The 12,963-nt window shown below is 36.1% G+C and overlaps 1 long non-coding RNA gene across 1 annotated transcript; it reads right to left on the bottom strand.

Moving 5' to 3' along the window:
• Window positions 1-909: 909 nt before the first annotated feature.
• On the bottom strand, window positions 910-11,936 carry LOC124908059 (uncharacterized). The gene is made up of 2 exons (XR_007088682.1): window positions 11,834-11,936; window positions 910-4,894 (listed from the first exon to the last, which is right to left on the bottom strand). It is a non-coding gene; the product is annotated as an uncharacterized LOC124908059 (long non-coding RNA).
• Window positions 11,937-12,963: the final 1,027 nt, after the last annotated feature.

Raw genomic sequence — 12,963 nt, 5'->3', positions numbered from 1 at the left:
ATAAATAAATAAAAGGTTTGGTTAATGTCAGACACTCGCTTGGTACCATGTCATTCAAAACTCCTTCCATTTAACAACAAAATTTACATTGACATATGAGTGATGTATAATGCAGTATAATTACTTACGGGGTCTTTGAAAAGAGAAGCTTCTTTTTTTCCAAGTGATTTAACTTTGAAAAGGAATTACTTCACATGCCCAACAAATACTATTAAAAGGCATTTTATGAGGCTTTTTTTTTCTGCATATGTCTACACATGGACAGACTATTGTGTGCTCTAAAACCTGTATTTACATGACACAGTTTTATGGTCCAATGGGCAAACACTACTTAGTCCTAAAATAACATCACAGTAATGACTACAGTCAAGACAGCAAGAACACTCCACCATTATTATCCATATCAGACCGCACCAGATGGGGTATCTGTAGTAGAGTGCTGACAGTGGAGAACATAGAACAACTGTTTCTGGTGGATTTGTGTGCTCTTAGGCAGAGCGATATTACACTCAAAATAAGTAGCACATAAGCTCTTTCATTTTGAAGACGTGTTGTATTATGTGTGTATATATATGTATATACACATATGTTTTTATCTGAATTTATTAAATAAGTTAAACAGAGAATTTGAGATTAGTCACATTAAATGGGATTTAGTCCAATTTCACTGGATATAAAGCAGGATTTCTTGGCCTCAGTAATATTGAACTTTCTATGGTGGATCATTCTTTGTTGCGTGGGCTGTCCTGTGCATTGTAGGATATTTTGCTGCATTGGCAGCCTCTACTGACTATAAGCTAGTACCTGCCTCTCAGATTTGTGACAACAGAAAAATGCCTCCCAAATGGGAATTACTGTTATAAAGGAATGAAGTCTTGAAAGTACACATATTCTTTGAACCAATTATTGTTTGTCCTTATATATATCAGTTTTTATTAGTTTTCAGATACAAGGTATGCATTTTTCTCATAAATGAATGTTTGTTTTAATTTGCTGGCACAGTTACAGTGGGTAAGCATTTTGCATCTACAATATTATTTTATACATCTTATGTAGTCAGCAAGAAAATAAGATGGGAAATATTAAGGGTTAAATAATATTGATATAAGGAGACATCTTTAAGACAAAGGCCTCAAGTCTTTTGTTAAGGAGGGGAATTGGCTTCTGCAGGTCCCCATTAGGTCATGGGCTCCTGCAGGTCTGCAGCTTTGAGATCATTTTTGCCCAGTGTTAAAGAAAATATCTCAACTAAGGAATACTTCATGACAAAAGCTGCTCCCTCCTGGTATCTGTGTTTTTTAAAGTTACTTTTCTCATCTTATGCTTTTAGAATAAAGAGGCTGGTTCTAGGAAATCGAGTAGTTGGAAGGAAGAAAGGGACAAGATTATTTGCCACATCACTGGTTATAAACATGATTCGAATTGCAATAATAAACAGAAAAGAAGTCAGTATCCCTGCTTCTTCATCTTTGTGAGTGTCCACCACTGGATCTAATTATCATGCTAAGACTGTCAATTCTGTCATTAGGTGTAGTCAGGAACTCATCATTTTAGTTAATCAAAAATTCTGCTTTGCGAAGAGTAACCATAAATATGTGAATTATCAATTTTCAAATTAGTAGAATGTAATAAAAGTCTACTTATTACTATATTTTTCTCATATTATTTAATCGTTTTTCTTTGATAATTCAAAAGGGATTTCAGGATATTTTGTTTGCTTTAGGGTTATCACTATAAAGCTAAGTTATCATTATTCCATAGTTATGAAGAATAGCTATGAAGAAGTGTCTTCTGATAAGGATTTCTGGCTAACATAATGCCAAGAAAAATAGCTTTCAACATCCCATACTGGCATTGAAATATTGATAAGCACTAAAGAAGTACAATGACAAAAATAATAGTGTATGTAATTCTGTACTTTTCACAGTATGTAATGTTATAAACATTCAACAAATATTTTAAAAGATCAAATTTTCATTTTTCTATAAGCTCTTAGCACTATGTATAAGTTGCTTTGCTAAATATTACATAGTATATAGTAAACAGAGAAAAGGAATGAGACTATTGATATTTCAGAAAATGCATGCTTAACATTGGTAATTGTGATTTTAATATTGCACTAATTTTCTGCATATATACATTTTTCCTTAAGCAAAAACATTTAATGTGCCAAACACCTATTCGTCATTGTATATTTCTCCCAACTTGAATAATTTTAAAAAGTTGACCTATTCATGTAAGTTTATCAAGTCTTTTATGAAACTATAAGTGTAAAAACACAAACCAAAGTGTTGATAGGTTAAGAAAGAAAATTAAGTCTGTTTGAATAAACAACCACATCAACTCGCCCCAAAAATGTATGTTCTAAAGAAATAGAGATAATGAGTAAGCTTATTGAATTTCTAAATTTACTTTAATTTTTAATGTCTTTTTCTTTTTGATTCTCAAAACTTTTGATACATAGAGAACAAAAGAAGAACAATCCTGCAGCTAATTTTTATAATTTCATCAGCTGGTACCAGAGGATTCATTGCTTGGTGGATAAAGTGTTAGCTTTATATTCTAAAGGACACCTTCAAATCCTGTTAAGGTTACATTTTTATTAAAATTTCCATTAATTTTTCCATCAATGTGATTATAGATTAATATTAATTAATTCTTACCATTTTTTGAAGAAATAAATGGAGCCATATCTGATTCAAACTTAAACAAGACACAGCATTCAGGCTTTCTTGGTAAGCCTTTCCTGGGGTGCAGAATTGGTTGGGGAGCAGGGGAATAAGATATCTTTAATGGTGCTTTATTGAACTTAGCAATTTAAATGGCCTACCCTGATTTTTGGAGATATCAAATTACCATATGGATGATGTCTTTATCATCAAATCTAGCTCTTATTGTTTACCAAGAAAATGACAAAGGTAATTTTTAATGTTGGACGTAGTACTTATGTGGATGAGTATCTGATATTAACGAGAGTTCTGGGATGAGATCTCTCTGTGCTAAAAACTGCTACATCAACCAACAGATTAATATTATAGAAACTGACCACAGACACCACTGACATTGCTTCTTTGGAGTTTTAATTCACTATAATAAAAAATAATAAAATATATCCCATGAAGAGTATAATCTTCATGCTCTTTAGAGAATTCTGGGATATTAAGGTGAGGCAAAAGATATCTCATTTGCATAACATTCTAAAACTCCTAGGAGAGAGGACTGACAGATTTGGTATTGATGGGTTTGGGTCTGTATCATCGGGAACAATCCTTTGCAGACACCTGTGTGACAAATAATTATTACAAACTTCAGGGATGGACTGTTATCCAAAGTAAGTTGCAAACTTGGCTGGGCCCTGCGGCTCCCACCTGTAATCCCCACACTTTGGGAGGCTGACTCAGGCAGATCACTTGAGCTCAGGAGTTCAAGACCAGCCTGGGCAATATGGAAAACCCCTCTCTCTACAAAAAATTAGCCAGGCTTGGTGGTGCATGCCTGTGATTCCAGCTACTTGGTAGGCTGAGATGGGAGGATTCCTTTGAGTCCAAGATGTCCAGGCTTCAGTGAGTCATGATCCTTCCACTGTACTCCAGACTGGGTGACAGAGCCAGACCCTGTCTCAGATAAGTTAAAAAAAAAAAAAAAAAAAAGTAGCTTGCAATCTTATCCTAACACCCTTAAATTTCAGTAATTAGTCTAATGTCACATTCTCTGAAGTACTTTGGATCAAATAAAATTCATGTTCAACCCTGTCATCATCATCTAACTCTGATGGGAGATTTTCAGCATTTTAGGATTTAGACAGAGATCCAGAGCTTATGTTTTGGAGCATGGCATTCATATTAAAATTTACAGAAGAAGTGTAGTGTCCAATATTTCTCTACATATTACTTGTTTGTTTTTTTGTCTCATGTAATGTTTATGTGAAGAGAGGTTTTTAATCATTTTAGAAAAAATGGATACTATAGAAATATATCAAATATGTCATGTGAAATATAGAAATATATCATGTGACAGATCAAAGAAAACCTGTCAAAGCCCCAAACACCAAAACGTATGGGGCCAAATATTTTATGCTATATATTGAGATTTCTCACAGTGAGAAATCTATTAGACTATTATTTTTAGCAATAAAATTAGGAGTTAACATATATTGGACATTATTGTTTGTGCCACACACTGCCAAGAGCTTTGAATCTCATTGAGTCTTCACAGCATCCCTGTCAGGAAAGCATTTTTATTTTTCCCATTATAAAGATAAGTCAACTGAGATTTAGGGAGATTAATTATCAAAGATCAAATAGCAAACAACAGAACAAGGCAGGGATGTTTCAGAATGACTATGTATGAATTCTTCAAAGTAACAATTTGGTTGGAAATTGCATTGAAAGTAGTATTTTCAGAGAAGCACAAAAAATGAGAATGTATTAATTGTCCAGGTCATAAGTGGGGAGAAGAGGTGCAGTGTTCCCTCTTAATGTTGTTTTGCAGCTGGGATTATTATATTAAGAATAAAATGTTCTAGTAACCCATAGATTGACATTCCCATTCAAAAGAGTGAAAAAAAAGACTGCCATATCCAAATCTTCCCCCAAAACACACGCAATCCATATGGGGCTTGGGCGATCCAGAGCCGAGGTTCAGCACTTTTTCTCTAAGATTGGATTTCATTCTGCTAACAGCGTGTTGGCTGAGTGCCCACTAGCAAGCAATTAAGACTTTGTGCTTTCCTGCATTTTAGTAGCTCTCCTTATGAAACATGCAGCCACATGGGAATAGAAGCTTTGCCAGCACGGGTCACGGTCTGGGAGCAACATCAGGAGAGTTTCTATGCTCTCAGGACTCACAGTCTTCTGGAAGGTTGAGGAGAGGATGGATGGTTGATTGGCTGTGCCTGTAAGAGAAGATGAAGGAGGGAATCTGAGAAATGGAAACTATAGGAAGATATCAAATTAAAGTTAGGAGAAGAAAGTCAAATGCTATTGTGGAACCTAAAAAAAAGAGAGAGATAAAACAATTTCTGAAAATTAAGAAGCAATTGGGTTAAATTAAAAGGGGACAAAAACTGAAGTCTTGATGAGAGTTTCTTACCACTGAACTTGAATGATGTCCTCATTAATTATTTCTTATAACCAACACACATGTGTTGAGTATCTAAAATGTGCCAGATACTGTGCTAAGGACTGGGGATGTAAAGATGAATGAGACATCTTCATGTGAGGGTGGGTAAGAGGAGCAGCAGAGCCCCCAGGCATGTCAGACTCACTGGGTGCTGTGCCATTCTTATGGGCTCTGTGTAAATGGAGGCCTGCCACGGATACTGCTTCTGTCTCCCAGCTGCACTTCACTTTATGTCTGGAAAACATGACTGAGCTGGACCTAAGGTATGGTATCTTAAAAAATTAGGTAGCTTTATATAAAAATAAAATAATCTCCTTGCAAAGAAGCCTTTCACATCTGAAAATCAAATAGGGCACATCAGTGGTTTCCAATCTGATTGATTATTCAAGACCTCCTAGGCATGATTTTACAGTACAGTTTTCTGCTTCCTACTCCTGGAAATTCTAGTTCAATGGATCTAACCAGATATATTCTCATAATATAAGCATTGTCCTGAACAATTCTGAAAAGAACTAAAATCTCAAAAACAGTGTTTTCCGCTTCACAATAGACTTTGTTAGGTTAAAATTAAATAAAGAACTACTGTCTTATCAGATATAACTTGCATATAATGTAGAAAAATTCAAATCAATAAAAAACTGCCCTTTGAATCATTAATACAGTCCCTTGAATAAGCAATCTCAATGGTGTATATGAAAGCAAACTTATACACATTATCTTTTATTACATTAACTGGAGCATAAAGGTATATAATTAGTAATTCATACTTTCTTACTGTTTGAAAAATTGAGCATAAATCAGGTTTATATTGAGTCCTAGTCTCATCAGTGACTTGATGTCTTGACTTTAAGGGCCTTTGGATGTCATGCAAAAATTGCAACTTTATGTAAATTATGGTCTGGATCAAACTATTTCTCAAGTATCTTTAATATGCTCAAAGATCTGAGTCATAAAAATTCTTGGGTTTAAAACATTATTTTTTAATTATATAAATAAAGTCTTATGCAGATTCCTAATGTATCAAAAAAGATAAGAGTGGACCTTTAGACAATAGCAGGGGTGGGGTCCCAGTGCTACCTCTTTGGCCACCATGTTAGCCTCAGTAGGAGCTCCTAACCTCCCTCTGCAGAACTCCGGAGTTCCACAGGGTACAGAGGGAAAACAAAGAGTATCCCATTTTTAACTTTATTTCCAAGAAAATCCCCACAATTTGAATATTATAATGATTCCCTATAGATATGTGAGGTTAGTCCCTAACTGGCTATCCATTTGTTAAATCCCCCAGTGCCTTAGGCCAGTTAAGTGCACACTTGGCCAAATCTGGCCCTCTGGGTCACTCCACTGGGACACTCCAAGTGAGGTAAAAAACACAAGCCTATTTGTCAAACCTAACTAGGTTCAAACCTCTAATCTCCATTCACCAGTTAAATTACCAGGAGCAAGGTAGTGAAATTTCCAGGGTCTTCTTCCCATGGCCTGTAAAGTAGGGATAATAAATTCTACCATTCACTCTGGTTTCCACCTGGTCTTTAGCATAAAGACTAGTGCTTGGTATTTCTCTTCTTGCTTTCTTGGGAATTGATCAGGTTAGGAATTGGCGAAGTTGCTCTAACTCCTTCAGGCCTATTCAGAGCTTATTTCTTTCATGTCTCTACACTACATTTACTTCTTATGATACAAAAGAATAATGAGATTCCATTAACAAAAAATCGCTACAACTTCTTCCATGGAACTGAAGAGAATATCTTATTAAATTCCTGTTTTCTCAAATATGTTGGCCACACCTTAGATTATAATAATTATTTACTATGGTCTTCAGATATGTTTATGTATTAATAATCACAGAAGGTAAGTTTTGTTACACATCACTGCATTTCAATATGCTCTGGAAAGTACACACCTCAACATAGAAATGGTATTGCATATTTAAACATTATTAAATAATGAACACTTATTGTCATGTATAAGCTGCAAGATGGAGGGAGGAGTAAAAAAAGAGTAAGGTGACTTAACACTGTCGTACCTTCAATGGCACTAATGATGTCATGGGAGAAAAAGAGAAAAACTTAAGAAACAGCATAGAGGTCCTTTTGAAAAACCTAAGAATTTTTAAAAATTCTTTGGGTTAAGTAATGAAAGGCAAGGGCAACTAGCTTGTGAACAATCTCCTGAGCAATGTTGTTCTGTGTGTTTACTGGGCTCCCAAGCCTGAAATTATCTTCCCTCTATACCACCTAAATGTGTTCACTTATCCTCAAGCCATCTGAAATCACATTAATTAAACAAATTGTGTTAAATAAAAATGGTTCTTAAAAAAAAAAAAAAAAAACATAGATGAAGCTGTATGTTGGCAAAGAGAAAGAATAAGACCCTCTAAGCAAAGTATATTGTGTGTATAAGGAACGTGTGTGTGTGTGCATGTGTGTGTGTGTGTGTGTGTGTGTGTGCATGCTCACATGCATTCCCTGAGGACTACAAGAGAAACAACAACAATAACAACAAGAATGATGAATGTGTCAGAGGTGGGGGTTCCATCTCATTTTTGAGATTAATTTTTAAGCCAGTATAGGCAAAATAAAGAGTTGTTTAACTCTCACAGCTTACTACATGTTATTTTCAAATGAGTTAGTAGAGTGGCACATGGTCCATATATAGCTTTTGTATAATGACCAGATTTTTCTAAACCATAAATGCAATATAAGTATAAACTAGTGTAACTGAGATATTTATTTATATTTCTATCGGGTAGGACACCTGTTTATACAATTATTTCAATATTGAGAGAAAAATTTCCCCAAATTCTGCATTATCAATGCACTTCACAATGATTTTGCAAGCACCTAGGGCAGAGAACCCAATGTTTTATTTTGGCAAGGGAAGCTCTGTAGAAATATTTGCAATATTTTGTGCTAATCCCTCCACTAGTCACTTTAGTGTGGCAAATATTTGTTCTAGTGGACTTTACTACAGTAACAGAGTACATCAATCTGTTGTTTTAACCTTTTGAAAATAACCTTTGTGTCTTCTTGAAGGAAATAAAGAGTCATTGATGAAACCTTTGAAATTTTCAACTTCTTTGCAATAAGGTACCTGGAAGAGAAATTGGTGCGTTATCTCAAGGGAATAGATTATAGGGAATTGAGTGCATCTCTGCTTACTTTCTTGGCTCATAGCTTTATGGATATCAGGGACCTAAAAAGTAAATGGTGGTCAAAAAGAACAAACATTTATTAGAGCAGTTAGAGAGGACTGGTTTGATATTTGCCAAGTTTCTTCTCAATAACATGTTTGGCAGCTACCAAATGACATGGCCTGCCCAGAGTTGATTTTGACGAAGCCTCTGGGATGTGTTAAAAAGTAAACCAGAGCAAATCACATACTGGAAAGCATAACTCAATCAAGGAAAAATGTATGATTAAGGGTGACATGGGCAAGGAAAGCCTTGCCAGAGCTCAGGGTAAATATTTGTATCAGTGTGAAGAGAAAGCTTCGTGACGCTGATGTCAACCAGCTGGAATTTTCATTGTTTATAAACTTTTGTTGTTAGAGTTGAATTCTGGCAGAAAAGGTACCAAAGAAAGAGCAATTTCCCAGCATGAGAGTTTGAATTGTGATAAGGCAGCTTGACCAGAAACAAATGCAACCATGCAAAGTTTCAGCCACTTTTCCCTTCCAGAATTCTCCTGCCAAGAAGCAACCTTCTTGCCTTAAATCTTACTTTGACAAACTTCATCAGGATTAGTTAAAAGAAAAGTTTTTGGCTTGTTCTGTTTCATAAGAACTTATGGCATCATTTTCCTCAGATAAACATAAAATGGAGAAGAATGTAAATGAATTTCTGTTAAATTTTTGTACAAAAGAATATTGCCATCTGAAGTAGATTTTTAATGATCGAAAATAAACGCCTTGGTATTAAACCCAACTTTGTGAATAGTGTCTATTAACTTTATGACACCAAGCTATTTATTTTTTACCTCAGGGTAGACTATTGTATATTTTTAAATAAAAAAGTACAGCAATTAAAAATATTTGGGCCCTTGATTTAACTCACCAACTATTTCTGTTAAAAAGAAATCTGTATTTTCTCCCTAAGCTGTGTTTTGTTGTACTTTTCAGAACTTTGAAGGTAGCCAAAAGTTATAAATCAAACAATATCACAAGGACATAGGTTTGTATAAAAATTTACAGTAATTCAGAACACATAACTCAACTTTCAGGCAGAAAAAGAGAGATTGTTGGAAACTGATTCCTGACACTTACTCTTCCTCTCAGAAACAGAAGCACATAGATGGTGCTCTATTGGCAAAGAAAGACACCCTGAGTTTCCCATTTCATAGATGGCCTACTAGCAGAAAACTGCAGCATAGATACTCTCTGAATAGTAACCCTTACTTCTCCCTCAAGGTAGCCTGGAAGTTTCAATCCGATCTACTTTCAGTGAGGGCTGAGTAGTGACATTCACTGAACAGGATATGCAAATAACTCAAAATTCCTATCAAATTATCCTTTGTTTTAATAATTTTGTGTTTTACATAAACTTCAATCTGATTGGCCTAAGACATAGCACAATAAAAATTACATTGATATGTTGCTTTTGAGAATCCTGAATTACCTCTATCCAGGAAAAAGAGCAAACTCAGAGACCCTCCATTTGTACACCCTAACATAGAATGAACCGAAGGCTATCCCTGGCAGTGCAGAAACTAGACGCATCATGAACATAACCACATTACCCAGATGCACTAAGAATAGAAACCAAGCCCCTGCTGGTGTAATTAAGAAATCTTTTCTTCCAGTCCTGGGCTTTAGAGACCTGGATCACTAACTAATTCCAATTTAGAATGCTCTTTTGATAAGGGTTTTTGTAAACTAAGAAGTGAGCTGAACATGAAAACTTTACATTATAAGTTTCTGAGCTAGCATGTCCCACTTATGCAGTAGAGTCTCTGGCTTACACTGGCTAAAGAAACAACCTTCAGAGTGTGGCTATTTCTGGGACATCACAATGATGGTGTATTTTCAGGAGCCAAAGAAGTGCCAGTGACTTCCACTGGAATTTGCACATTTCTGTTGCATTGTGGTGCACTCACAGCCTTGGAGCTCAAAGGAATGCACAAAATCCAAACACCATACACAGAGCTAGAAAGCCTGCTAGGTGGGAGTTCTGGGCTCAGACATAGTTAGGCTTTAGTTATAGTAAGTCATGCAAAGATACAAAGGTGACCAGTCTGTCGCTGAGTTACTTCTTCTTATCCCTCTCCTACCTCTCAATGACAGGACATTCACTAGGTCATTCTGTGTTGCGGATTGGGACCCTCGGGCATTATATTTTAATTAAATGGTCAGGTTATTAATGCGTGGAAATCAGTCACTGCAAGTGTTCAGCTACCCATTTTTCATACATAATGCGTCCATATCAACATTATAACAGCCATCTACTAAAGATTTACATGGTCACTTTAAAAGAAGAAGCCTTGATAAATACTTGAATTAAAGATTCTTGGGATCATATTAAGGGACTAAGAGGTCAAGTCTCATTGCTGATTTATTTCCCCTGCTGTGTGGTGATTAAGAAACCACTCAGCCCCTCTGTTTGTAGGTTCAGTTTTGAGTTTCAAAACACAAAATATTTAGTCATGTGTTTATGGTACACTAACATGTACTTAGTATTTTGTTAGAAAGGTAGGAAATTCAGAATATTTTCTTAAAAACTATTGCTATAGTCTAATATCACATGTTTTTCTAGCCTAATCTCCCTTTTTTGTGGCACCAGTGCTGTTATCTTTTGGGAATTCTCCTCCCCTCACTTCAACCTTATGTTACTGCAGAAGGTTAATACAATTTTTAACCTCTTGCCTAGCCACATTTGATTGGTCCAAATTAAAGAAATCAGAGTACTTCCTAAAAATTTGACATAAGAATAAAACTTTCTAGCTCAGTTTAGATGCACTCTTGAATGAAGCAGATGCAAACAAACCTAGGGTCTGTTGGAAGCCTTATACCTCACTGTACACTGAGAATGAGACAAAGCCAGATAGCACCAAAAGGAAAGAATGGAATAGGTAAGGAGAGCTGAAAAAAAATAGTTTGGTTTTTGTGTCCCTGCTACCAGCTAACCCTTGCCTATCTACGTCTTTCTCCATGAGATATTACATTAATGATTTTTTAAAAGACGCTTCTTTTATCATATTCTATACACCTTACTATGTACCCACAAAAATGTTTAAAAAAATATATATTTAAATTAAAAAGACACTTTACTTAAATCAGTTAATTTGGTTTTCTTACCTTCTACAGCCAAGGCCCTCAAGGAAATGATCAAGGTATTTGTTGAATGACTATTGTGTACAAGGCTGATTACATTCAATCTCTTAAGCAATCCTAGAACTTTGAGTAGGCTTATTTCCATTTTAACGATGAAGAAACTAAGTATCAAGGAAGTTAACTAACTTATTCAAGGTCATACATTTAGTCACATCAGAGTGAGTCCAAACTCCATCCTCTTGCACAGCTTGCAAACATCCTTTGGAAATCTTGAGAAAGAAAAATTCTCCTGCATTAAATAATTAGAGAATATGATAAAGTTCTGAATATTATAAGTGGTGTTATGATTACAGATAAAGGAATGTCAATTCAGGATGGAGTACAAAGGAAAAGTGTCTCAGACAGAACCCTCTGAGTTACAAATGAAAGAAAACATGTTCAAACTAACCTATTGACTCAGGAGCTCGAAAATCCAAGGGTTAGTCTTGCTTCTCACATAGCTGGATCTAGAACTCAAAGAAGTCCATCAAGACTCTGTCTCAGTCCCTTGATTGCTTGTCTCATCCTTGGTTTCACTTTTAGGCACACTGACTACAAATATTTGCCCTAAGCATGCTCCAAACGCTTTCAGGGCCTGCAAATGTACATTTTAGGCTTGTGTAAAATAGGGATGCCTGGCTTGAAGTCCTTCCCCTCTCCCTGAATATGGAGCCTAAAAAGGGGCCTATTTTGGGCCCTGGAAACTGACAACTGTTTGGCAGAAAATTCTAGTGTTTTTGTACCAAGGCAGGGGTATGTTTCCGGTAGTCATGTCTCCTTTGCTCCTTAGGAAAGGGCAGGGCAGGGGAGCAAGAGTATGCCTTGGATGGGGACCCTAGTAACCCACATCTAAGAGGAATACTGGGTGGTAACCAGCACCATCAGACTTTTAAGAATTAATAGAAAGTCCAATAAAACATTAACAGACAAAAGTTCTAAAAGTAAAGCCATATAATTAAATCCTATTGGCCAGACTTTGGTCCAGTGCTCAACCTTGGCCTAATTATTATTGCCAGAGGATTGGACTATGCTAATTCGGCAGTCCTGGTTTGGAGGACACATCTGGAACAGGGTGTTGGGGTCAACACCACAGAACCCTACAAACAGAGAGTGGTTGAGTGGTTATGCTGCTACTTCAAGCCACACAATAGACACTGAGCAGGGGAAAAGAACACAGCCTGACTACATAAAAGAGTTATAACTTGAGATAGCAAGAACTATTAGAACAAGACTACTACCGGATTCTGAGCAGTAACCTGAAAATAATAGCCAACATTTATTCAGCACTCAGTATGTGATAAATCACTTTGCTAAGAACCTAAAATATGTCATTTTATTAACGTAAGAACCCTGAGGCCAGGCATGGTGGCTCACAGCTGTAATCGCAGCACTTTGGGAGACCAATGCATGTGGATCACCTGAGGTCAGGAGTTCGAGACCAGCCTGGCCAACATGATGACACCCTGTCTATACTAAAGATACAAAAAATTAGCTGGGTGTGGTGGTGGGCACCTGTAATGCCAGCTACTTGGGAGGCTG

This window comes from Homo sapiens, chromosome 2, assembly GCF_000001405.40.
Source record: "Homo sapiens chromosome 2, GRCh38.p14 Primary Assembly".
Taxonomy (NCBI): domain Eukaryota; kingdom Metazoa; phylum Chordata; class Mammalia; order Primates; family Hominidae; genus Homo; species Homo sapiens.
This window is presented reverse-complemented; position numbering and strand designations above follow the sequence as displayed.